General features: G+C 36.2%; 1 protein-coding gene across 8 annotated transcripts in view, besides 2 other annotated features; it reads left to right on the top strand.

Annotated features, from left to right (window-relative positions):
• ARHGAP29 (Rho GTPase activating protein 29) overlaps positions 1 to 27,949 on the top strand; it is a 145,688-nt gene that overhangs the window by 72,583 nt on the left and 45,156 nt on the right. For 4 of the 8 annotated variants that reach the window (XM_047434759.1, XM_047434754.1, XM_011542439.3 and 1 more), the window contains 2 exons: positions 10,367 to 10,603; positions 21,618 to 21,752. In XM_047434759.1, coding sequence (XP_047290715.1) covers positions 10,399 to 10,603; positions 21,618 to 21,752 — 340 coding nt within the window. In that variant the 5' untranslated portion in view covers positions 10,367 to 10,398. Of the gene's footprint in view, positions 1 to 4,425; positions 4,596 to 10,366; positions 10,604 to 21,617; positions 21,753 to 27,949 lie in introns of those variants that run through there. The other 4 variants (NM_001328666.2, NM_004815.4, NM_001328667.2 and 1 more) reach the window with 3 other exon arrangements.
• Positions 4,223 to 4,452: a silencer, noted in NCBI's record as "silent region_1093". NCBI's record gives its function as "represses an Ori minimal core promoter by ATAC-STARR-seq in GM12878 lymphoblastoid cells {active_cell/tissue: GM12878}" and the evidence as "EXISTENCE:reporter gene assay evidence [ECO:0000049][PMID:35858748]".
• Positions 4,463 to 4,702: a silencer, noted in NCBI's record as "silent region_1092". NCBI's record gives its function as "represses an Ori minimal core promoter by ATAC-STARR-seq in GM12878 lymphoblastoid cells {active_cell/tissue: GM12878}" and the evidence as "EXISTENCE:reporter gene assay evidence [ECO:0000049][PMID:35858748]".

Genomic DNA, 27,949 nt, shown 5'->3' with positions numbered 1-27,949 from the left:
CCAATCTCCTGGAACCATGATCTCTGTCTCTTCAAGTTGTCAAGGGTGCTATGGTCAAGAATGTGACTTTAGGCAGAAAGTTGGGGTAATTGTGGGGCTTACCTCATTTGTTTATGATCCCATCTCTCAGAGATGACAGCCCTGAGCCCAGTGCGGTGTGTAGTTCGGTGTCTGAAAACAATATATATTTTGTCCATTTTTCTAGTTGTTTACTACAGGGAAGAGTATGTCTGTTTTTATTTATTCCTCCATTTGATTTTATATATATATATATAAATATATATTATATATAAATTATATATCATATATAATTACATATATAAATTATATATATCATATATAATTATATATATAAGATATATATATAATTATATATAAAATTACTATTTTTTGAGACGGAGTTTTGCTCTTGTTGCCCAAGCTGGAGTGCAGTGGTGTGATCTTGGCTCACTGCAACCTCTACCTCCCAGGTTCAAGCGATTCTACTGCCTTAGCCTCCCGAGTAGCTGGGATTACATGTGCACGCCACCACGCCCGGCTAATTTTTTGTATTTTTAGTAGAAATGGGGTTTCACCATATTAGCCAAGCTGGTCTCAAACTCCTGACCTCAGGTGATCCGCCCGCCTCGGCCTCCCAACGTGCTGGGATTACAGGCGTGAGCCACCGCACCTGGCTGCATTTGATATATCTTTTAAGGATAATCTAGAGATTTTTCTTTCCATCTTTTTTCCTGCAGTTTATTTGTTGAAGAAATCACGTTTATGCTATAAAATGGCCCACAGTCCAGATTTTTCTGGGTATATACTGTGGCATAATTTAACAAGTTCTTAGGTCTTATAGTTTTTTATAAAGTGGTAATTGGATATAGAACAGGGTGTTTCACCTTGACACTATTGACCTTTTGGGCAGGATAATTCTTTCTTGGGGATGAGGGTAGTCCTATGCATGTAGGAAGTTTAGCAGTATCCCTGTCCTCTGCCCACTAGATGTCAGTAGAATCCCCCTCCCCAGTTATGACAACAAAAAATGTCTCCAGATATTGTCAAATGTTTTTAGACCCATGTTCTGCTATGAAAAGTAGGCTACCTAAACTACAGAATTGTCTTCAGGAAGATGAAGTAAAATTAACAGTACTGGTAATGTCACCACTGCAGATAGAAAGAATACTAATCTGTGCAGTCTGGTACCACAAACATTTTGAAGAGAACACATGAGGAAGATTTGGGGAATATAAAAGTTAAGGCTGCACCGAATGGCTGACTTGAACAGTGTCATAGAGGATGTGAATTTCTGTTTGAGAAGGAAAAAATACTAGAGGCAATAGTAATATAAATGGTAAAAACACAAGTATTTAAAAAAAATTATATGTTGCTTCCAGAAATGTTTTTCTGCAACTTGTTGAAAAACTTAAGCTATTGGACTGCTATGGTAGATATACTGATGGTTTTACTCTTTTTTTCTGAACACTACAATTTTATTATAGACCAAGAATTTCGGACTTGCAGAAAGGTATTATTGCATCTATTAATGTGCTTTTCATATTTAAAGTGTATTTGTGTGATAAATTACTTCAAACAAAATCAAGTCAGGGGAGATTAATAAAATAACCCTTTTAAATTAAAAGTAAACTACCATTTTTGCAAATATTTCCAAATGTCATCATCCTCTGGATGAAGGATGGCAGATAATGTATTTTTTTAAAGGTTTAAGAGGAGGATTGAGATTGAGAGACTTCTCAAAATTTCCCTTAGACAACCTTACTTATAGTTTATTTAACCTTCTAAGTAACATTCCTCGATTCCCAAATAGCCAACTATTGTGACTCTGTGTCAGATCCTATGCACAGTAGTTGGTTGTTTTGGGATGGTTTAGGGGTAGTTCTGGTTTAGGGGGTGTTGAGAATAACCCAGAGCAGCTATGAGGGACAGACTTTGCTTCCTTGAGCTCCCTGAGAGTTGTCCAACCCCACTCTCCTTGGCCTTCAGAATTCTTTCTTCATCCCCCACTGATGTCCTTCAGTTTTGAGTCATCACTGGGTGAGTGTCCATGGTGCATCATTCTCCAGTGGGGTTTGAAGGAGTCTTTGTTTTTTAGGTGTCTTCAGTACTGCTTGTCATATTAGTACTGTTAGGTTTGAGGTGTAATGGAAAAAATTTTAAAAATTAAGTCTGAAAAATAATTGTGGAAGCAGGTAATCAAGGAGCCTTGGATTCTTATGTTTGTATTTTTAAGGTAAAACCTCAGAGCCTAATTGGCTTCATTTCCCCCAGAACTGTTTGCATGTGAGAAATGACCCTCTTTCCTTTCTCTATCGGTGGGTAGTCTCTATCACCTCTGTTTGTCTCTTTTATCTTCCTTATCTCTCTCCATCTCATTTTCTTTCTCTGCTTCCCCTTATCTCTGCATATTTCTTTCTTCTTTCCCTCTTGTCTTTCTTTCTCCTTTATTGTTGTCTCTCTTTCCTTCTCACATATTTGTCTCTCCCTTTGTCTCTCTTTCCCTGCTTTTCTCTCCTCCTTGTGAGCTCCTTTCTCTTTGTCACACCCCCACCTCCATCCATACACCCTCTCTCTCCATCAGGAACTTGTTCATGATTTTGTCAGTGATGCTTCCAGTTCCATTTTAGTCAGCAACACAGTCCTCTTTATTAAGGGAAATGGTGTATAAGTGCAAAATAATATATTTTAAAATAGACTTAAGAGGGTGTTTGAGGTTGAGGGACTTCCTCAAAAATTTCCTTCCAAAAACCTTACTTATGATTGAATCGTAGTTGCACTGTTCAGCCTCCCCTTGGCCTGGGGACTCCTTTGTCTCCTCTTATTAGTTTGCTTCAGTTCAGGCATCATTGGCTTCCATGGTGAGAGTCCTTGGCGCATTTTTCTTTTTCAGCACGATTAGAAGGAATTTTGGTTTTTGAGGTTTCCTATTTGTGGCAGGACCTTGTTACTATTATTTTGGGGATTTGAGGGGAAAATCTGTGTAAGTTGAGTCCAAAAAATCCAGTATGGTGCCAAAGTAACCAAGGAGCTGAGTTTTCTTATTTATCTTTTCTAAGTAGCACCTGAGGAGCCAAATTTGTTGTATTTTCTTAGCATTGTTTTTCCTGTAAGGGTTCAAAGATATGTCTATGTAAGATGTCCCTCTTCTCTTTCTTTGTCAATGAGTTTTTCTCTTGCCCCGCTACCCTACTTTTGGTTCTGTCATGCTCACTTACTTTTCTGTTTGTTAAGTGGGTAGTCTCTCCTTTTATTTTTCTTCCTTATTTTCTCTTTTTGCCTTCACTTATTTCTGCCTTCCTTGGTTTTCTTCCCTTTTCCTGTGTCTGCACCTCATTTTCTTTCCAGTTTTCCTCAGCACATTCTCCTGTGTCTTTTTCTGTTTCTCCCGTGTGTGGTCATTTTTCTCGCAGACCCCAGCGCTACCCACAGTCTCCCTCCCTGTGTTTTTTCCTCTGTTTCTCTATGAGTTCTTTCTGAATGTTCCAGCACTGAGGTAAGTGCCATCGCTTGTTCCAGCGAGTGGTGTGATATAGGGACTATGTGCTTTCTAGCCCTGCTTGCTATAATTATTCCATCTTTCTCAGACTTTTTTTTTTCTTCTCATTATGAAGTGAGTTTGAAAGTGCAGCTAAGAAAGAAAGGACCGGGCACAGTGGCTCATGCTTGTAATCCCAGTACTTTGGGAGGCTGAGGCGGGTGGATCACCTGAGGTCGGGAGGTCGGGAATTCGAGACCAGCTTGGCCAACATAGCGAAACCCTGCCTCTACTAAAAATACTAAAATTAGCTTGGCGTGGTAATGGGTGCCTATAATCGCAGCTACTCAGGTGGCTGAGGTGGGAGAATCAATTGAGCCCGGGAGGCGGAGGTTGCAGTGAGCCGAGATCACGCCATTAGACTCGTCTGGGCGACAGAGCGAGACTCCGTCTCCAAAAAAAAAAAAAAAAAAAAAAAAAATACAGATAGGCCTAAGTGGAAACTATTACCCTCCATAGAGGGCAGAGGGGCAGAGTAGATGGCTGGTTTTGAGGTAGTTCATTCTTCATTCAGACGTGTGGCGCCCTTCCCCAGGCCCTAACCCCTGGAAGAGGGAGGAAAAAGGCGATCCACAGAAGTGTCTCATAAGAAATGTAGCTGCTCATCTGGCCATTAGCCGCATCTAGTCCTCAGGTGACTTTTCTCTGAGTCGCTCTGCCTGTCCCCTGCAAGCCAAAAGGGCAGCCGACGCAGCCCGTGATGCTGGGACAGCGTCCGGCCGCGCGCAACTGACGGTCGCGTTCTGCGCGCGAGCTAGTTGCCTCCCGTACCTGCCGCGGTCGCCGGCCCCGCCCCCGGGAGCGCGGGCCAATGGGCTGGGCTCCAGGGGGCGGGGCTGGCGGGCGGGCGGTGCGGCCGTGGCGGTAGCTGCAGGGGCGGTGGCGGCTGCAGTGGTGGTGGTGCCTGTGGCTGTGGCTGCGGCTGCGGCTGCGGCTGAGATTTGGCCGGGCGTCCGCAGGCCGTGGGGGATGGGGGCAGCGAGCTCCAGCCCTCGGCGGTGGCGGCGGCCGTAGGTGTGGGGCGGGCGTCCGCGTCCGGCACGCGAGATGGAGCGCCGTGGTGAGTGTGAGGAGGTGGCGCTTGCTCCGGCCGCGGCGGTCGTGGCTCCGGGCTGGGGTTGCCCGCGCGAGCGCCCGCGAATTGCCGTCCAGGGTCCGGGAGGCCCGCGGGGCGGCCCCGAGTGGAAGCGGTGGCAGGCTGCGCTAGGGACGGGTGTCCTCGAGCCAGGACTGGAGTCCACGGGAAGGGTCCGGCCGGGGCTAGGGGCGCGCCCGGCGAGGGAGGCGCGGACGAGCTGGGGAGGACGCCAGCGGTGGCCGGGAGCAGACGGTGACGATCGTAATTAAAGTTAGCACACAGCGCGTACAACGGGTCCGCCTGCTGTTCTGAAGCCTTTGCACATTTTAACTCTTTTAATGTTCAGAACACTCCATGATTGTTCGACTCGGTTCACACGGGGAAACCGAGGTTAAAAACCTGCCCAAGCACACAGACTAGTGGTTGGCAGCGTCAGGACCTAAACCCAGGCGCTTTTGCTCCGGAATCCGTGCTCCTGATCACTATGGGTCTGTGTTCTTGCCTGGATTCTATTCCCGCTCCCACCTGCCCTGACTGCAGCCCTCACTCCAGTTGGGCTCTCATTCCTGAGATATTTTAGGATTTCCGTGGTGCATTTTCTCCTGGTCTGTGTTTTTTGGGTTTCGTTGAGAGTTTTCCTCAGTCTCAGAGGTTTGTCCCAGTTCAATTGTGGACGTGTTTTGGGGTTTGACAGTTTTAATTAAAAAAAAAAATTTTTTGGGGGGCGGGTGAGCTGGAGTTGGACGTTTCAAGGTGGAACCCTCGTGACTGACGAGCCTCTTGTCTCTATGTTTATCTTTTTAAAACTTTCTCAGAGGGTATTGGCCCCAAATGTTTTCGGAGGGCAGGATATTACCTGCTAATGGCAGGAGCTGAGCTCTCCTTCCCTTCTCTCCATCTGTCTCTGTGACTGTATCTCTTGTCTATAGTTTATCTTTTGTCCGTCGTTACCACCGTCGGCTGTCCATTTTGGTTGCTCCATTCTTCCCTCTTTGTTTAAATTCTTGGATGAGGAACTTGCTCTTTGGCAAAGAGTAGTTTTGGCTGGTCAAAGGAGAGTACTGCCTGCCAGGAATGCTAGACATTCTGGAGGGGTGGGATGCTGGGCAGCTTCCTCTTTTTAAAGCGTGCTAGGTTCAAACTGTACAGAAATGAAGTGCATGTGTATTGCATGCCTTCCTTTAAAAATTGTTTGCATAGTATTGATAAAACTCTTTCTCACATGTCCCTATTCTGTTTTTGTGGAGAGTGCTTTTTAAAACCATAAAGATTTAATCATCGTTTTAGGATGAGCTCATCTAATCTTTTTAGCATCTCAAAGTAGATTCTTGCCAAATCTGAAATTGTGCTGAAATAGCAGATTTCTGAAATATCTGGCAATTTTTCCTCAAGAAGAAATGGTAGAATGGGAAATAGTAAGTATAGATGTTTGGGGGCAGTTTTACACTTCAATTAGAGAGCCTAAAATGAAACTACTGCCGTAATGTGCATTTGGCAGGGGGCATGCGTGGGGCAGCGGACATTTGATTGACACAGGCTCCTGCAGTCGTGGGGGATAGGAAGTTTGTGTCTACATTTCTAATGCACACAACACTTAGATTTACAACATACAATGGAAGTGGTTTTGCACGGTAATTTTCTACTTGCTAGAGAATTCTTTGAGAAGTGGATAATACATGTTTTTAATATTGTTGGTTTGAAGTTGAAAGAGATGCACCAGAATTAGTGTGTCAAAAATATTTTGCACAAGTCTATTTGCACAGTTCAAATTTCACTTGGAAGCTTTTTAGTAGGTTTCCACAGAGTCAGTTAAGTTTCTACAATTGTTTCCAGTCCTGTATTTCTTGCTCACAATCCACTTATGTATTGTAGTGAAGCCACATCTTGTTCAAAAACAATTTCCCACAATAAAGCACTGCTAGTAATAATGACTTTTCTTTATGGTTCATCTTTATGATGAACCAGGCACTCTGCTAAGTACTTTGCATGCGTCATTACCTAATTAAGTTGCCAGTTGCAGTCTGTTAGTAACTAAGTTTTATGTTACTTCCAACAAGAGAATATTCATTTTCGCGCATGAGAAAGTAGTGTATATGATCTTGGAAAGTGTGTATTGTTCCAGCTTCTCATTATCATAGTTCATTTATGAAAGCTTGGGTTAAGTTTGTTATTTTAAACGTTTTTTCAATTGTAATGTTTCCTTTTTTTACTCTGGAATATGAAAAGTAGTAATATATAACAAAATCAGCACATTAATCATTATAATGCTGGCTAGAGATAGGGTATAATCCTTTTTTATAAGAGGAAAAGAGTTCCTCTTCTCCTTGCCATGTGTTTGATGTTGTTGTTGCTGTGTTTGTTTTTTGCAGATTTTTTAAGTCTTGTCTAAAAATGTTCCAGCAGTTTTGAAACACTTTGAAAGTTTGGGTTACTATTTTACATGTAGTTACTTAAAGTAAATTATTTCTGCTAAAATAGGTAAATTGTTTTAATGTCTTTAATTTTTGTAACCATCTTTACCAGTGACAGTGACCAATTCTCTAATTTACCAAGTTTAAAAGCTGTCATAACTAAACAGAATGACGTTATTAAGTAAACTGCAAGAGTGATGTTTGGTTAGGCTAATAGGCATTTTGGTTAGTGATTTGTAAAAGAGCTGCCCAAAAAAGACACTTTGAATTTTTGTTTTGTTTTTGTTGATGGGAAGGAAGACTTAGATATAATAATAATGCTCAAAAATTGCCCTAGATTCATTTTAGAAATGATGTATGCATATAAGGATTAATGTTAGATAGGTTTGAAACTAGTTTAAATGTAGAAGTTAGATTCTCAGAAATAATTTGAGATTGACAAAAGGACAGTGAATAAACAAACTTTAAAAATTATAAAGTGTGGTCCCCAGTTTAATAATCAGGAGGAGCAATAATAGAAATCCAACTTTGATTTCAGTTTTATGTAATCTTCCCTCAGCTTCATATACTTTTCTTTTTGAAACATACCATTTTAGAGAGTTTTTTAAAAATTTATATTTTCACTTCAAAACATTGCAACAACCCAGAGTTATTTTTGTTTCTATAAAAATTAATTGAAACTTTATAAGTTTATAAGCCTATCTGCAGATAGTTCTAAGTAGTTCATTCCTCATACGCCAAGCATTGTGCTATGATCAGAGAACACATGGTTAGCAAATAGACATACATGGTCTTGATTTCCATGAGATTATACTCTAGCTAGGAAGACATGATCTATTTGAACTGTGGTATGAGCAGTGATGAAAAGTAGAGGATACTATGGAACATCTCACAGGAGATTCTACTCTGGTTTGATGGTAGTGGTTTTGCTGGGGGATGGGGATGGTCCAGGAACGTTTCTTTGAGGAGGTAAGCTTTGAGCTGAGATCAGAGTGAGTAAACAAAGGAGAAGGAATATTCCAGGCAAATAGAATTACATATAGACAGGACCCTGAGCTGAACAGTTGGTGTTTTTCAAACTGTAGGGTCATGACCTATTATGTGTATGAAACCAAGTTGGTGAGTTGCACCCAGCATTTTTAAAAATGAAATGGGATGGAATTTTTAAAAACTCACATACATCCCATGGAGCCTTACCCAGAAGCATGCCACACACAAACATAATACACTTAACATGTATTATTATGTAAAATTATTTCCTGGTGAGAGTCATCGTAAACAAATACTGTTGGAAGAATGAGAAGGAGGTGTGTGTGGCAGGAGTGTTGAGAGCCAGCAGGTGTGTCTCCATATGACATTGCACAGGTAGGTAGGAGCCAGATCTCATGTTGAGCCTTGTAGAGCATGATAGCTTCTCACTTATACTTTGGAAGGGTTTTCAGTAGAGAAATGACATTATGAGATTTATGTTTGAAATGTTCACTCACTACATTTGTGATGAGACAAGAATGGATGCAGATAGATCATTAGGAAAGTAGTATAGTAGCTCAGAAAAGAAATGATGGTAATTCACTAGTGTGGTAGCAGTAGAGAGAAGTGGGTTGATTAGAGAACCCTGTAGATCAGAAAGAAAAATGAACTATGGAGTTGGGTGAGATATAGGAAGGAGTAAATGATACAATAATGTATCTTACATATGACTAGAAACGGATATTACATAAAACTTCCTAGTGGGCCAGGCATGGTGGCTCATGCTTGTAATCCCAGCATTTAGCTAGGCTGAGGTAGGAGGATCACTTGAGCCCAGGAGTTTGAGACCAACCTGGGCAACATAGTGAAACTGTATCTCTACAAAAAAAAAATTTTTTTTTTAGCTAGCTAGGTGTGGTGTTGTGCCCCTGGAGTCCCAGCTACATGGGTGGCTTTGGCGGGCAGATGGCCCGAGCCCAGGAGTTTGAGGCTGCAGTGAGCTATAATCACACCACTGCACTCCAACCTGGGTGATAGCGTGAGACCCAGACTCAACCCTTCCCCCCTCCAAAAAAAAAAAAAACCAAAAAACTTTCTACTGTAAATTTTATAGAAGTCCTTAGTCATCTACCATTTTTAAAGTAGCCAAATATTCAAGACAAAATACTTGAAAAAAAGTGTTAATAATAAAGTGTGAGTTAATTTAATTCCTCCGGTTATTTCCTTTTTGATTTCCAGAGATACAAACAAGATTAGAACTTTTAACTCTGGAAAGGTAAAATGAGGGTGAAGAAGAAAATAACTATGATTTTCTTGAGTTCCAGCTATGTGCCAGTATTAGGTGTTTTAACATATGAAGTCTTCTAATTTTGTGATCCCTTTTCATCCTCACACAAGCCTGTAAATAAATTGTACTGGTCACATATCTAGAAAATACTAGAGCCAGGATTCAAATCTAAATTCTTCTCATACCAAAAGATTACCTTTTTACTACCATCCTGAGATTATCAAAAATATTGCTCTGATGATCACACGTGTTTATTTAACCAGTCAGAGTATGTCAGATTAGTGGGCACCCTTGTAACTTATTTTCAACAAAGAAATATCCTTGATGAGACTTGGTAATCCAGGATGTGTTGTGTGTGTGTGTCTGTGTATATGTATGTATATGCATTATTAGGAAAAACTAACTGTAATTGAACTTCTATGTTCTCGACACTTCTGTATCATCGCGTCATGTAATCCCTACAATCTCATGAGATAGGTGTTGTCAGGATGTTACTCCCATTTTATAAATGAGCATACTGAAGTAAAGAGATGAATAGATCATACAATAAGTGACAGAGGAGGATTTTAAGAACAGGTATTTCTTTTTTCAAAGCCCATATCTCATCTTTATTTTTGAAGGTGATGTCATGGAAGGAGAATATGACCTTCTACTAAGTGATGTTTCAGAACAACTTTTACAATTAAATAAAATTCTATACCCTAGGAATCAAGAGGAAGTTATTAAGAGCATGGATTTTGGCATCAAGGCAGATACAGGTTTAAGTCCTAGTTCATTATCAGTTGAGAGCTTAAGGCAAATTTTTAACCTCTAAACCTCAGGTTCCTCATTTGTGAAATGTAAAGAACAGTAGTTTGCATGTCAGAGTTGTCGGAATTACTGGTATTTAATAAATGGAAACTGCTATTATCAATAATACAGTGATTGATTATTGATTTTTGATTTTTAAAAATTTAAAAATAGGATACCAAGGTGAGCTGTGGGCTGTTTGTGAAAATCTAGTGTAATATTTCCCTGGCTGATTTAGTTTTTGTGTTTCTTTCTCTCTCCTCGCTTGTTTTTGTTTTGTTTCTTGCCCCCTTAAGGATTTCAGTTTTTCTGACTGTTACATGAAAGGATGATTGCTCACAAACAGAAAAAGACAAAGAAAAAACGTGCTTGGGCATCAGGTCAACTCTCTACTGATATTACAACTTCTGAAATGGGGCTCAAGTCCTTAAGTTCCAACTCTATTTTTGATCCGGATTACATCAAGGAGTTGGTGAATGATATCAGGAAGTTCTCCCACATGTTACTATATTTGAAAGAAGCCATATTTTCAGGTTTGTCACTTTTCTATTAGCATTCTTGCTGGATAGTTTGTAAAATTTTAAATGCTGGCCTAGCAGATAAGTTTGTACACAGTGGTAGGAACAGGGTATTCTGCTTTAGTTATTTTAGTGCTTTTTTCCCCAAATCTTTGATGGTTACAGTGTAAACTATTTTATAATCAGATAATAGTGTAATACCTAATAGAAACTTCAGTGTGAGGGAATAAGAATACAAAAAAGAAAAATATCTTTGATTCCTGTGGTTGGGTCCATTTGACGTAGGAAAATTTGACATCATTGGAATTTTAACCTTTCTGTTAATGGTAACACAGTGCATTGATTGGTCTTAAATAAGCTGACTAATGTTTATAATTTACATTGTTGACACTGTTACCTAAATTCACCTTTCCACATTTTAGATGAAGTTTTGGTATCTAAAATGACTGCATTTTTTTTTTTTAACAAAAATCAGACTTAATTCTGTTTTGCTGATCTGTAACATCTTGAATTAAGGGCTAATCACAGAATTCTGTCTAGTTAGAAATGAATAATGGAGCATGAGACTCTGTTCCTCTAAAGTAAAAGATTGTATATCTCTGACTTGTTCTTAGTACCTGTCTTTCAATGTTTAGTGCCTCTTAGGTCTAAATTTGATGGCAAGGATAATAAATAGTTACAAAAACAGCTCCTATTCTTCTATGATAAATGGCAGTTTCATTTCCATATTCATAATGGTATGTCTAGATATAAAAATGAAGATTCTCAGTGTTATTTATATGAGACCTCTTGGGGCTTTATAGAAATTTGTAAGATTTCAATAAATATTTCTATGTATATATATAAGTTAAATACTTATTTTCTGATGGACATTTTGAAAAACCAAAATTGTATCTTGTGCTTGTACTAAATTTAAGAGTTAATTTCTAATCTGTTATTTTCAGGTTGAAATGCCCAAAATGACTGGAATTGAAGCCTCAAAGTTTTAGTATTTGAGTTTTCCTTAAAACAACAATCACATAAGTGATTCTTTTGAGAATGTATACATATTAGAAAAGTTGTTCATATTCCCATTCATTTTAATAGCTTGATTTTGAAGTCTGATTGTGGATGATTAAATGGCAGTAAAGTTACCTAAAGTTATTGTGGAAAGATATCCTAACTACATTAAGTATTATAATGGTAGTAAATTTACCAAAATGATAAATTTGCCATTTATTTAAAGAAACATAGCTTTGTAATAACAATTTGTTCTTAACTAGGTTAATTTTTTAAATTTATAAACAATAAAATGTATACTTCTTGATATGCAGTTCATTAACTGGATTGATTTTTAAGGTGAAATTTAAAGTGATGTATTAGTTGACAAGTCATTTACCTTGATTTAAGGTGTAAAACCTGATTTTATTTAATGCCTCAATTTAAATGCATTTTTATTAGTATAAATAAGATTTTTAGTTAAGATTTCTATTTGTTTTTAGTTATTTTCCTTAAAAGATTTATATCTCTTAAAAATCTTCATTTTACATAATTATCCTTGTGTCACAGATTTAAAATGATAGTAATTTAAAACAAGCTGGACTACTTATCTCCAAAAAAAATTTTTATAAGAGTTTTAAATTGTGAGCAGACACTTCAGAGAATACTGAAGGTCAACTGAAAGTTGACCCTAAGTGAGAAAAGAAAAAAATAAGATACAGAAAGAGACTACCCCCTGAGGTAAAGGGATATGTATGGAAATACATACACTGAAATTTAATTTTAAAAATTCATAAGGACATTATCAAAAAGTTTGCAATTTATGGCCAGGAAATTAATTACAAAATAGATAAACTGTTTTTTTGATAACCAACTCAGTAGTATGCAGTGGCCAGAGGATGTTCATTATTTACCTTTGGGTTGATTTTTTGTCTTTGAAATATCGTTATCAAAATCTAGAAATAAACTAGTTAATTTGAGTTGATGGAACCTTTTTGTTTTATAAACATAAATGGACCTCATTATAAAAGATAAGGAAAATGCTACATAATATTGTGCTTGTTTTTAATTTTGATGATTTTCAGCTTAGAGTATCAGACTATTCCTTATTTACTTAATAAAAGTATTACAAAGATCTCATGAGATGTAATCTTTAGGAAAGGTAAAATGTTTAAAATGCTCTAACTATTTAAGATGGTATTATTACATGTATCCCTATAGTCATGAGCCCTGCTTTTTGTCTCTGGGTATTGAGAAATATCCCTGGACTTCTTTTCTGAGTTATCACCACAACGTTAAAGTGTGGCCAGACAGCAAAGAGCCATTTCATTCACTGTTTTTCTTTTAGAGTGGAAGAGCCTTGTCAGTAATTTCTCAGTAGCCCTCCCAATATTTTGTGTATTGTCTCCTTAAGAGGAAGATGCCATATTTTTGGCATTGTTTATTACCTTTTAATTCACGTTTGTTAAGCTAAAAAGGCAGCTCTTAAGAATAAAGAATGTAGATATACAATTAAATCATCTTTTGGTTTAGTCAGAATACATTTTTTCTGTAATAACTTTTATCTGTTAATACCTTTATTACTAACTGAAGCACTAATGTGCAGTCACTTGACTTTTGCCGCAGTTGTTTAATCATAGGTTGAGGCTAGTCTTAGATAAACAGCTTTGTGATTGGTTTATGGCCACATTTTACTTTCCCCAAGTAGTTAGAAATGATGTATAATTGTATATGGCGCTTTTCATTTTACAGAGTACTTTGTCATACAAACAAGTTTAATCACCCAGGCCCCTCAAAGGCAGGTACCTTTAGCTCCGTTTCACAGATGAGATGTATGTATAACTTTTGATTTCATCAATGTCTTATTGCTGATAAATAATGGCCAGGTTATATGGTTTGGTTAAATTGGTAGTAAAGGATGGCAGCAAAAGCTCTGAAAAGAGAATCAGAATCTAGGTTCTAGGCCTAGTTCTACTGACTAGCTTTGGAATATGGCTTAATTCATTTAATTTTTTGTTAAGAATGAGGCACTTGTACCAGATGCTATCAGTTTTACGAATCTGTGATTCAAAATTTGATTAGAGTTGGAGATTATACATTGTTCTGAATGTTGGCAGTTTATTCCTAAGAAGACAGCTAAGTATTTGTTTTCAAATTATATGAAAACAAATTAATGAAAATTTCCCAAGTGAGAATATGAAGCTCATATTGTAATCGTCATTGAGGAACTGATTAGAAAAAATATAAATGTCTGCCAAAGAGCTCTGTACTCCCAACAGGGTTAAGATACATATACGGTTTATCTCTAATTTTCTAATTTACAAATTAAAATAGAGAGCTTAATGTGGAAGATTAGAGGGCTGAAAATATTCTATTCTTGCTGGGGTAAGTTAAGTGACAGAGTTTGGTAATTCTCTTTCCACTACTTAACCTCCAGGAGGAGGTTACCTTGTAGTCTTATACAAGTAGCAGATGTGGAATTTGAAGTTTTAGTTTTTTTATCCAGTGTCATTAAGGTACATTAGGAGTAATTACAAGGTAAATGTTCTATCTTATATGAAAATGCTGAAGGCACTCAGTTATGCATATGCATGTTGTGTTTAATTATAACACTGTAGATTAATATATGTGCAGTGTAAGTACCAATTCAGGTTTATGGTTTCCTCCCTGTGGAATAACGTGTTCTAAATTCTAAATAACAGATTCATAAGTGCTTTTCAAGTTTATGTAATAATTTTTAAAGTCTGCCATTGTGACATACCTCCCCATTTTCATGTGGAATATCACTCAAGGAAGCTAAAATCTGGGAATGTGGAAAATGTAAAGGCCTTTTAATTGGGCTAGAAAGAATAGTATAAAATATCTAATTGTTCTGCTACTCAGTGCTTGGAAATATTAACTGCCATTTTAAAATATATTTGAGGGAAAATCAATAGTCTAATAATTTCTTATAGCTTTTTTATTATATAGTACTACTTTAAATGGATTTTTTGGTTTGTGACTATGGTGCCTTATTTTTCTTTTTCTTTTCTTTTTTTGGTTTGGTTTTTAAATAGGCTGGAAAGGAAGATAAAAATGTATGGCCAATTTCAGATGAACTAGTCAAGTTCTCTTATTTTTAAAAGATGCTTTCTAATTTAAGAGTGTATCACCTTTATACTATTTATAAAGAAAATAATGCTGACCTCATAAGTGATAGCTTCTGATGAATTGTTTTTACAGGACTATAGTCGGAAGTAGTATGTTAACTTTCTAAAACAAATTTTATTGAACAGTTAGGTTGAATAAAAAGTTTTTATTGAACTTTTCATTAAATGAAAAGTTTAATACCATTAAATAATATATTCTGTTATGAGAGGTTCTGCATAAATTTGCAAAGTCTTCATTGAAATCCTGTCTTGTGGATTAACTCAGTTCTTTTCCCAGGGAGAATGTACAGGAGGATGTGTAAATTTCTTTTTCAGACAAATTGCATTGTTACTTTTACCATTGATGCCTCCTACTTAACTTTACAGTGTGCCAGAAATTTTGTGAAATATTAGAAACATTAAGCTGCTAGCCTCAGATGTGTACTGCTCTGTCTTATCCTAGAAATAAATCTTTTTAGAAGTTATTCCTAATGAATATCACTTAGAAGTTAATGTGAATGTTAATAGATTATTGTTTAGTGACTAGAAGTTATGAAATGAATCTTTGAGAAACGAAGTATGAAATACAAGTAGCTCATTTATTACACCTGTACCAGTTCTCGGTGTATTAGATTCCTCTTCTGCGTTTGCCTAGAATGGTTTATATCATTTAACAATGTTTATAGTAGTAACTAGCATATTCATTGGAAATTAAAGCCTGTTAAATTGCAGATCGCAGAGTACTTGTCATTAAGCTTAATTTCTTCAACCATGTGGCAATATATCATAGTGATTAGGAGCACAAGTTCTAGACCCAGGATACCTGAGGTGGAATCCTCATTCTGCCACTTGCTAGTTGTTTGTAGCCCTGGGCAAGTTATTTATCTTCTTCCTTTATGCTTGTTTCTGTGTCTATTAAAAGGAGATAATGGGGTTTTTGTGATGATTAAATGAGTTTATATATGTAAAGCTCTTAGAATAAGCATTTTCAAATGTCAGTTGTTATTATTTTCATAATCCCTGGTAGCTGAATAAAGTAAATTGCTGTTTCTCAGGCTTCACTTTTATCCTGTAACTTCAAAAGCCATTACGACAAAAATTGGGACTTTCCTAGTGATAAGTTCTGAAACATTTTTTCTCCTTATTTTCATTGCTTTCCCTAAAGAGGTTAAGCTGAGTTAACAAGATTGATTTTCAAATTATTGTCAGTTTTTTTTTTAATGAAAGAAAACATCATGTTTTTTTCATTTATTTACTTAGACATTTCCATGAAGTGTTGGCAATATAAACACTGTGGTATTTTGTTAATGCATGAGAACAAAAAGTGGAGCTGGCTAATCTGTCTTCACTTGATAAGTGGAATGAAGCAGAAAATAAATGGCTTAGATCGGTGAAACAATAAATTAAAATTCAGATTACTGTATTACAGAGTGAGTAGAGAAACAAGCAAACATTGGGATACAGGAGTTTTACTATTCTAGGTGACTAGTATTAAGACTTTGGTTGAATTTTATTATATTCACATCTGTAATAACTTTTTAGTATAAATTAAATTTCATTACATTTACAATATGGCCACTATGGTATTTAAAAATTATCTTGTATTTAGTTATATGACTAAATTAAGTACTATAACTTGAGAGATATAGAAATTTTTAATAAAACATATCCTGAATGACTGCTTCATTTTCAGATAATTCACCAATTTAGATTCTACACAGCAAATGAAATTGAAACTTAAATGTAATGTCTTTTCTTCCTTAGTCAAAATATTGTGGGATCTAGCTATAAATGTATTTGTTATTGAACATGATTGTGAGGCAAATCTGTTTTCAAAGGTAGTTTGAATGGCTTACAGAATTACTAGTAATAATTGCCATTTATGTATATTAAGACTGTAAAGTAGCTTTATTTCTACTTATTTGATATTCACAACAACCTTAAAAGGTAGGTAAAACAGGTATTATCAATTGTGTTTTTACTGAGGATGAATCTGAGATCAGAGAAACTAAGAGTTTTGTATGTGTGTTCATTTCAAGGAAGTAGTTGATCAAGGGTTGGAACCCAGGTTTCTCTATCTAAATCTATTGTTTTTTACTGCATCAAGCAGCCACTTAACTTTCTTCAGTTTTGGTAAAAATGGAATTTTCTTTAAACCATTTATGATGCAGCTAGTTGAGGGCTTGCTAATTTATGAAGTTCCAACTGAAATATTATTAGGACATGCTCATGACCTAGAAGTTTACCCTTCTGCCCAAATATATAGAAAAGTTTATGAACCTTTGTGATTACCTTTTTCTTTATTTAGTCATCATGTTCATTTCTGTTGATTTGTGGGCTTCAGCAGTGTATTTAATTTCAGGAATTGGAATTCTTCATAGTGTAACTTAAGGAGCTTCTGAAACTTCTTACGAAAATAATTCTGATGCTATTTTTTTAGTATGTTAGTTGGGGACAACTTCAAGATCTGTTTATTAGGGCTACCTTGTAGGAAAAAAAGGAATTGCAAGTTCGTAGACCATTTGTGCTGCCACCAGTTATTGGAGTGTTTTGCAGTTGCAGTGATTTTTTTTCTTTTATTTTTCTTGAAATCCAGGGACAGATTGGATATAGTGATTCTTAAGAAAAACTATAGCAGGGACTCCCAGGACCTTTTTACACTGTTAAAAAAAATTACTGAGGACTCCAAAGAGTTTTTTATGTGAGTTCTATCTATTAGAAATTAAAACTGAGAAAATTGAAAAGCATTTAATAATTTTAGAAATATATGGATTTCTGCATGTTTAATTTCCTTGACTCTGAGAAGACCACAGTATTACTTTGGTTTGTGTAGGCATTTAGGCCATTAGTATTTTGTAGTTTTTGCCCAACACTAATTTTGAATGTTGATGGTTGTCGTTGGCATTCTGAAAATCAAGCTCTTTTGGCCTGAGATTTAATGTTTCCTAAGTATATTAATACCTGAAGATTTTATTGTAAAACATTAGAATAGGGGATAGAAATAACTTTCTTTTCTAAGACTAACATTTATTAGGTTTCAAAAAGAGGGCAGTGTAACTCTCTGTGATGATAATCACTCCACCTTGGTTTTGGTTAAGTCAGCAGAAGTACTAGCATATACCAACTTTATTTAGTTATGTATGTGCCAAATAAGAGATCTGGCTGTACAAAACTGGGGAAAAAATAGCACATCAGGAAGGTTTTATAAGCCAGGCATGGTGGCTAACGCCTGTAATCCCAGCACTTTGGGAGGCCAAGGCCGGTGGATCACCTGAGGTCAGGAGTTTGAGACCAGCCTGACCAACATAGTGAAACCTCGTCTCTACTAAATACAAAAAAAATCAGCCAGGTGTGGTGGTGAGCACCTGTAATCCTAGCTACTTGGGAGGCTGAGGCAGAAGAATTGCTTGAACCCGGGAGGCAGAGGTTGCACTGAGCTGAGATTGCACCGTGGCATTCTAGCCCAGGCGACAGAGCAAGACTCCAACTCAAAAAGAAAAAAAAAAAGGGAAGGTTTTATAATTTTTTTACACCTATTCAAATTATATTATTTTCCCAGAAGTTTCCTTTATTTCATATCTACTAGATTTAATTTCAGAGCTAACCTATATCATTAACCTATTCTACTAGTGCATAAAGTATTATGTTGGTGCAAAAGTAATTGAGGTTTTGGCTATATACATACATATATATGTAAATATATGTATGTATGTATATATAGTTTTTTTTAGTGGCCAAATCCGCAATTAATTACTTTTGCACCAACTAAAAATAGCTGCAAACATTTATGAAGGGCCTACTGTGTTCCAGCCACTGTTCTAAGTGCGTTATGTGTTTTAATTCATTTAACCGAACAACCCTGTGAACTAGCTACCTTATCTTTTTTTTTATAGATGAGGAAACTGAGGCACAGAGGGGCTAAGTAACTCACCCAAGGTTTCTCAGCCATGAAGTTAGAATTCAAAGTCAGGCAGTCTGGTTTCAGAGACTATGCTTTTCAACACTATACTGTATTGCCTCAACTAAGTAAACCTACCAAACTAACATTACCAGTTATAAAAAAGATAAAATAGGCCAGGGGCGGTGGCTCACGCCTGTAATCCCAGCACTTTGGGAGGCCGAGGCGGATGGATCACGAGGTCAGGAGATCAAGACCATCCTGGCTAACACAGTGAAACCCCGTCTCTACTAAAAATACAAAAAAATTAGCTGGGTGTGGTGGCGGGCGCCTGTAGTCCCAACTACTCGGGAGGCTGAGGCAGGAGAATGGCGTGAACCCAGGAGGCGGAGCTTGCAGTGAGGGGAGATCACGCCACTGCACTCCAGCCTGGGAGACAGAGCGAGACTCCGTCTCAAAAAAAAAAAAATTATGTTTATGGGGAAAATTTCAACAGCACATAAAATTCCTAAAATCTTTTACCTACTTGTATTTCATTTTAAAAATAGACTTTTATTTTTTAGAACAGGTTTAGATTTACAGAAAAATTGAGATAATAATACAAAGTTCCCATATAGTCCTATACACTGTATTAACATCTTATATCTCTTAGAGTTAGTGAGCCAGTGTTTGATAACCAGTAATAAAATGATGCATTATTATTAACTAGTGTCTATATTCAGATTTCCATAGATTTCCTCTAATATTCTTTATTATTTTCCAGGATCCTATCGTATTACATTTAGTTTTTTCTCCTTAGGTCTTCCTTGGCTGTAAGCTTCTCAAACTTTCCTCATTTTTATTTTAAGGAATACTGATTAGGTATTCTGCAGGATGGCGCTTGATTAGAATTTGCCTGACGTTTTTCTCCTCATTAGACCGGAGTTATGGGATATTGGGAGGAAGATTACAGATGTAAAGTGTTGTTTTCATCACTTTATAGCAAGGATATTTACCTTGAATGTGATTTGTCAATGTTGATGTTGACCTTGGTCACCTGTCTTCAGTAGTGTTTGTCAAGTTTCTCCACTGTCAAGTTATTCTTTTTGTCCTCCTTTCCATACTACACTCTTTGGAAGAAGTTAGCCTGCATAGGTCATATGTAAGAGAGTTATGTTTCACCTTCTTGAGAGCAAAGTATTTGCACACATTTTTTACAGTTCTTTTACACAAGAGATTTGTTTCTTTTCCCCTGTTTACTAATGTATTCAATCATTTATGTCAGTATGGACTCATGGACATTTGTTATATACTTTAGGTTATAATCCAATACTACTTTATTTGTTGCTCACATTGTTCCAGCTTTGGCCATTGGAAACTTTCAGTTGGTTCCTGTGCACCTTTGACATGCCCTCCTCACTGGGGGGTGTTTTTTGTTGTTTGTTTTAGTTTTTTTTTTTTTTTAAAGTTCTTCCTTCCTTTCTGGCATTACAAGATGCTTGTTACTTATCTTGAAGATTTCTGCCCCAGTCCAGGAATCAACTATTTCTCTAAGGAGACCTGATTACTTTCATTGGAGAATAGTATTAGAAACCAAGATCTAGATACTAGGTGTGCTTGTTGCTGCTGAGTGTCATTTCTTTTAGGCCCTCTCAGCTAACAAAGCAAAGAAATATATATATGTGTATGTATATTTTTACATATGGGTATTTATATAGACATGCATATGTGTACATTTTCATGAATATATTTATATATACATATATACATATGTGCACATACATTTGTATGTATATATGTACATATGTATGTATATATATTTAAGTATATACACAAATATTTCTATATGTAGTCATACAGAAATGTGTATAAATATATACATATGTATAAAAATATATACTTATATAAATAATATAGATGACTGCATACAGAAATATGTGTATATACATACATGGGTCATACTAAATGAGTATGACCCATCACAGTATTCAGTATCACATTGAATGAAATAATATCCTTTTGTTTTTAATAGTGCCTAGCACATAGTAAGTGCTTAATAGATATTAACTCTTATTAAACACCAATGCTGTGTAAGTTTACAGAAAGGAAGATTATATAAGAGTACTGTACTTAAAATGGTTGTCTTGTCAGACTTTTGAGGATTACTTCGGGGTTTTAAAGGTAGGGTGATTATACTTTCTGATTTACTTGGGATGAAGATCCTAGAATGTGATTGTTGTGCTAGCATGACTGTGAGTAGCATCCCCCTTTCCACTAGCAAAAGTATTTTGGTTTGAATGATAAATTGTATAGTCATCTTATTTAAGGTGTAATAAAACTGCATCGCTCTGACCTAGGATGATGTAAATGAGTGGAGTAGGCTGGGAGAAAATGAATGAGCACTGAGAAGAAACTCATCTATCTAAGAGAGCAGCACTGCTCTGTTCTAGCTACTGTGGCCAAGGAGGAATGTGGCCCTGAGTGTAAAAGATTTTGATTTTTCAGGAGTAGGCAAAATCTAGAATATGTGTAATGATCCTTCAATTTTTCATCATTGACAACTAATTCAGTTTTTCTAAAAAGCACAAAAACTCATTAAAGGTCTGTACATTTTATCATAGGTAAATTATATCATAATTTTAAAAATGTATAGGTTAAATGATGATCTTTATATGCCTAAGAGTTACTGGATATGTTAAAAAATATATGATAGTAAAACTATAAGGCAAGAAAAACTTACCTTATAAAGTTGGCTCAAGGGAAGTCTGGAGCACATATTAAGATTGAGAAAACTGAAAAATGAAGTACTTAAATTGACCATAACTGTGAGAGCCTTTGAAATCCTTAATGAATTAAAATGACTAAGGATTTTCTGAAGGCTTTTTAAATTGTATATAATTGCAGCAGTGAAGATATAAATGAATGTATAGTAGGCAAAAATTGTGTAACCAATGCTTCTACTTGAAATGTGCTTCAGATGACGTTTTGTAGTTTAGATTTGTGGAACTTTGCTCTGGAAATAAATTATTTTTTTTTCTTTTTAAAGACTGTTTTAAAGAAGTTATTCATATACGTCTAGAGGAACTGCTCCGTGTTTTAAAGTCTATAATGAATAAACATCAGAACCTCAATTCTGTTGATCTTCAAAATGCTGCAGAAATGCTCACTGCAAAAGTGAAAGGTAAGGAAGATATAGTAAAAGTGGGTTGCTGTGGGCAAAAAGGAGCCAAGTGATATATTTTGGTCTATAGTGAATATATAGCCAATTCCTCTCATTGCATTTGTGTGATGTATGTTAATAAGGAGTTATATATACTTTGATATTGAAATATTCCCACTAAGTCACACCTAAAGCTTTCTTCCTTTTAAAAACTAACTTTATTTGGCAGTGAATACTTTAAAAAGACTTAACTTTAACCAAACAACTGATGTTTAAAATTTGAGTTTTTTATGAATGAGTGCACGCTCTTTCGAGGTGATTGGTGTACAAGAAGTCTTTGTTAGGTGAGGACAAATTGAAATTGGAGAGTGGTAATGTGCAGTGACTACTTAAAAGAGGGAATCAAATGGAGAAAAAGAAGGCTTAATTGGGACCTTATCTAAAATGTGAAAATGAAATTAAAATTGTAAAATAAGTTTATCATATATGTATGGGTGTGTGTGTATCTATAGCATATATGTGCTAAAACTTAGCATGAAGAATTGGACCATTATCCTCTGATGAAATGACTTGCCATTCAAAGTTGTGAATTATTCTGGGTTGCAGTATATAAAAGAAGGATTGAGAGCGAAGTGAGTATTTGAGAAGAAATGAGACAGGAGGCAGGGAAATAGGAGATTGTTAGGAATAATGGGCTAGATGAGGGTTGAAGCTGAGGGCTTAAATGAGCGGAAGCTGGGGTGTGGTAGTGGTAGAATGTGATTTGTTAAATAAGAAGGAATGGATGTCAGTTTGACAGAACGACACAGGTTGAATGTTAGTGGTTATGGAGAAGTTCGGTGTTGAAGATGTGGACTTGGGAATTGTTGATGTATAGGTAATGGAAAAGGATGACATCAGCTGAGTGTGCAGAGTAAGTAGAGGACTGATGTGAGATCCCAGGGACAGAGAGAAGATACAGAGGAATTGGAGAAACACCTAACAGGTAGGGAGATGGACCTGCAAGGAGGTGACATGGATTTTAAGAAGTGATTATCAGTGTTAAATGCTACCGATAAGGTAAATGGATTCAAAGTAATAAAACTACAGAAAGTGACCTTTAGGGAGCAGTGATGTAGCAATCAGAGACAGACAAGGTAACAGCAATCCTGTGATCAATTCTGTGATAGAAGTACGCCTAGGCACCATGGGAGCACAGAGTGAGGAACTCACTCTAGGCTGAATGAGGAAAGGAAACTCTTCTTTGGGGAAAGGGATTGCCGGTCCTGAGTCGAAAAGGTCAAGTAGGCATTAACTGGGCTGGACTTGGTGGGGATGGGGCTGTAATACAAGAACTCTGGGTGAGAAGAACATGATGAGATTGGTGAACAGGATCATATTTGGAGAGGCTAAAGGGCATGTGTTAAGGGATGAAGCAGGAAAGGAAAATAAAAACCTTGTCTACAAAATATAGTTCATATACTTAAGGAAACCACCCCTACCAGCACTTTTTGACATAGATTTATCATGTTTGTGTGGTTTCCTTTTTTCTGTATTTCAAACACTGAAAAAAATGTAGATGATTTTTAAATGGGAAACATGGATAGCTTCTTCTGTCCTGACTTTTAAAAATGTGCTTAGTAACCAAATTTGTTTCTAAATAGATTGTTTACAAGTACCATTTAACTTTACTTAGATAGGGAAATTTGTGTCTATAGATAGTAAAATTTCCATGCTTGGAAATAGCGACCTAGTTCAATTGTTGTCAGTAGCTATTGTGTGCAGTCAGGATGTCCTGGGGAAGGAGTGCGCCTGTGTATAGTTGGTGTCCACATTCCAGAAACAAACTTGAAGAGAGTGCTCTCTCAGATACCTTGAAGATCTTTCTGTCTTTGAGGAAAAGCAATCTTCTGAATATTATTTTCCACTATTACTATCTTTATACTTGGGATTATTGTAACTGTTTTACTTTTGTGCTGGATGACATTTAAAAGGGGAAGATTATTTTGTTGTTGGGAAACTTCCTCTGTTTGGTAGAACTCTATGAGACTAGAACACTTTAAATATTGTGTTTTCTTTGTGTTAAGTTTATATGGTTTATAATAAAACCTCTTTCCCTGCCCCAACTCTCACTTTTGAGGCCATTTAAAAATATAATTGATACCCCAATTGAAAAATATTCAGCAACTTGAAAAATTGAGGTCAAATCAACTTAATTAATGGTTTCATTTAATGGTAATTTAGTTTTCAAAACCTGGAAAGGCAGAGGGTAAGTAGAAACCATTTTGAGTATCTGTTCAGTGCCAGCCAGTCTAAGTGCTTTAAAACCTATAAATGTACAGTAGTAGCTATTTCAGAAAGGAAAAGTTTCTGGGACAGAAAGCTGTCTGGAGTATGGAGATCCTTTATATTATTTGAGGTTTCAGTTTTTTTTTTTTTGTTTTTTTTTAAGAGATAGGGTCTCACTCTGTTGCCCAGGCTGCAGTGCAGTAGCATGTTCATAGCTCACTGTAATCTTAAACTCCGGAACGCAAGCAATCCTCCCACCTCAGTGTCTCAAGTAGCTGGGGCTACAGATGTGAGCTGTCACTCTCCCAGCTGATTTTTAAATTTCTAAAATTTTTCACAGGGACAGGGTCTTGCTTTGTTGCCTAGGCTGATCCTGAACTCCTGGCCTCAAGCAATCCTCCCACCTTGGCCTCTAAAATGCTGGGATTACAGGCATGAGCCACCACACCTAGTCCATCATTGAGTGTTTTTTTTTTTTTTTGAGACGGTGTCTCTGTCACACCGGCTGGAGTGCAGTGGCATGATCTCGGCTCACTGCAGCCTCAGCCTCCTGGGTTCAAGCAATTCTCCTGCCTCTGCCTCCCAAGTAGCTAGGATTACAGGTATGTGCCACCACACCCACCTAATTTTTGTATTTTTAGTAGAGATGAGATTTTACCATTTTGGCCAGACAAGTCTCAAACTCTTGACCTCAAGTGATCTGCCTGCCTCAGCCTTCCAAAGTGCTGGGATTACAGGCATGAGCCACCGCTCCCGGCCCCATCATTTAATTTTAACTCTGACTATGTTTAAAAAACAGCAGTGACCTAGGTATATGACTTACTTTGGAGACCTTAAGTATGAAATGCATTTTTTCAAATCTACCAAACAATAGAAAAAAAATACAGAATAACTTTAGAATCAGGGATGTGTAATCTTACTTGTATTACCACAGGTTTGAATGCATGAAGGGTGCCTGCTTCCTCTGTATAAGAAGTGAGAAATTGGAATCTTTACCCATATTTTTTATTTTAAATGTGGAGTTTACCTTTTAATAACTTTAAAAGAAAAATCTTTAATTTTTTTCCCATTCATTCTAATAGTGATTTGTATTTCCTGTGTGTTCTCATGTTTCCAAGCAGGAAATTCAGTCTGACAAAATATTTGCAATATGGTAAGAGAGATATAGCCTATTTTTAAAGGAGATAAAGGTATCTTCAGAACTCAGTAATTTATTATGTACTATTTGTTTTCATTATTTTCAGTTATTTTGGTCAATCTTATTTCTAATATAAATGAAAATAACCCTTAATTTAGGTTTTTTATGTTCTGCATTTTACCCTATATTTAAAAATTGGTAAACAAAAAAGAAAAATAAGTCTTAATTATGCCTCCAAGATTGTAGAAGCCTTGTATTTGTTTTGAAAACTTAATTTTATTAATAGGCAGTTCACACAGAATCCAAATGGTATAAAAGGGTATTGAACGATGATGAAGTTTCTTTGTTGCTTTTGACTATTAGTCACTCATTCCTTTACCTAGATAAGTAACAACCTTTATTGGTCTCTTGTGTGTTTTTTCAGAGATACACATATACAAGCAAATACACGGATGTGTTCTCTTTTTTAACCTCCTTTTTGCACAGATGGTAGCGTTCTGCTCCTTGCTCATTGTCATGAGTTACCTGCACATAAAGGGTTTCCTCATTCTTTTGTTATTGTTTCTTCAAAGCTGTATGGTAATCCCTTATATTGATGTACTATAATTTATTTAATCAGTTAACTACTAATAGATGTTTGGATCATTTCCAGTTTTTTTCCTATTACAAACAGTGCTTCAATAAATAGTCATGCAAATTCCTAGATGAATAATTGCTGAATCAGCAAGCATGTGTGTTTATATTTTTTGATATTACCAGATGCCTTCAGTATAGGTTCTGCCCTTCTGATAGCAGTGCTGAAGAGGCTGATTTCCTGCACCTTTGCCAACAGAACTGGTTACAAAGCTCTGTTATCCAGTATGATAGTGAAAAGTGGTATCAGCCTAGGTTTGATTTGCATTTCACTCATTTTGAGTACAGTTGAATATCTTTTGTTTCAATAACGTTTTTACATCCTTTTATGTTAATTGACCTTTTATCTGCTTTTCTTTTGCTGGTAGGTCTCCTTTTAGTATTGATTTGTAGAAACTCTGTATAAGTAAAATTAGCCTTTAGTCTTTGATTAATGTTGAAAAATTTTTTTTACTTCATTTTTTGTCTTTTATTTTTGCATTAACATTTTTCAGTCTTTTATGGTTTCTGGGTTTTGAGTATTAGGAAAGGCTTCTCTGCTCTGAGATTATAATAGAATTCTTGAATGTTTTTTCTTCTGATGTTTCATGGTTTCATTTGTTGAATTTAAGTCTTCAGAAACATTGTAAAGTATCTAAGTGTCTAGTAAATTTATCAGGTAATTCATATTTTCGCCACTAATTTGAGATGTCACCTTTATCATAAATACACTACATTCTCACATATATCTATTTATGGACCTTAATTCTGTTCCACTGATTTGTTTAGTTGTATGCCCAGGCCACACTGTTTTTATTATAGTTTTTATGACATTTTAGTATCTGGTAGGGATAGCTTGTTCAGAATTTTATTTTTTCCATGAAGATTTTTGAATTGGCTGTTTGGTTCTAAAAAATATCTACTGGTTTTTTTTTTGTTTTGTTTTGTTTTTTGATGATTTGAGTTAAATTTATAGATTAAATTAAGGAAAATATACATATTTAGTATTTCTATCCAAGAATATAATATGTACTTTGTTTCTTGAAGTTGTCTTTTATGTTCCTCAGAAGCAACTGAAAGTTTTCATTAGGTAGGTCTTGTAGCTTTTTTGGTTTTTTTCCCTATGTATTTTATTATTTTCTTTTTTTTTTTTTTTCCTTTTCATGCTTTTCTTCCATTGCATCTTTTAATTGAATGGTTTTTGAACTATGGGCTCTGACTCATGACATCAAGTTAGTGGATTGTGACCAGCATTTTTAAAAAATGAAAGAGAATAGAAAAGAAAAATCAGAAGCAACACTCATTACATAAAACTTAAGTATGTGTCAGAAATTTTATAGGTGTTATATAGCTGATTATGTGTGTATAGAATACTCAGTCATGATGCAATATGTATTTTTTCCCAAGGTTGTGGTCAAAAACATTTGAAAGTTGCTGCTCTAATAGGTTGTATGAATGAAAGCTATTCAGGTGATTTCTTGAAGAGATACTAAACGTGTCTTAGGACTTGGTATTGGGATTTAATAGGGAACCCAAGGGAGACAATTATTTAAACCTTAAGCAACATTTTAATGAGCTTTTGAAGGACTATTAATAGAGGGGATGGAGTGGAGACAGAGACACCAGTTAGGTTGTTAAATAGTTCAGACTAGAGGTAAAACGTGGGCTTTTGAATTAAATCAATGGCAATGGGGATGGAAAGGAAGAAAAAATATTTTAGAGGCATTTTTGAAAGTGAAGCTAATGAGCTAAGGATTGTATGGAAAATAGCAGGTGGAAAGTAGGAGAAGAAATATATCAGCCTATTAGAAATGCGAATCTGGAGCTTGGAGGTTAAAACTAGACAGGTAGTTTAGGAATTTGTTCCCTCAAAGGTATGGAAGTGGGTGAGATTCTGTAGGGATAGTGTATATAAAGAAAGCCAAGATGAGAGCTATAGAGGCTAAGTGGAGAAAGCTCTATGAACTACAGATTGTGTACAGATAGATATTGAACAGAGGAACAGAGCTTGTGTTTACTGAATTCAAGCACTGTACTCTGGGTGCTTCACATTTGTTTTCTCAGTCATTCCTCTCAATAATATGCTGTTTTGCTTATGAGGAAATTGAAGTTAGGTAATGTGTCCAGACTAACACACAAAGTAGTAGAGACCAGATTTGAACTCAGGGCTGAAACTCTAAAGCCTTTTATCAGTATATAT

The sequence above is a fragment of the Homo sapiens genome, chromosome 1 (assembly GCF_000001405.40).
Source record: "Homo sapiens chromosome 1, GRCh38.p14 Primary Assembly".
NCBI classification, from domain to species: Eukaryota; Metazoa; Chordata; class Mammalia; order Primates; family Hominidae; genus Homo; species Homo sapiens.
This window is presented reverse-complemented; position numbering and strand designations above follow the sequence as displayed.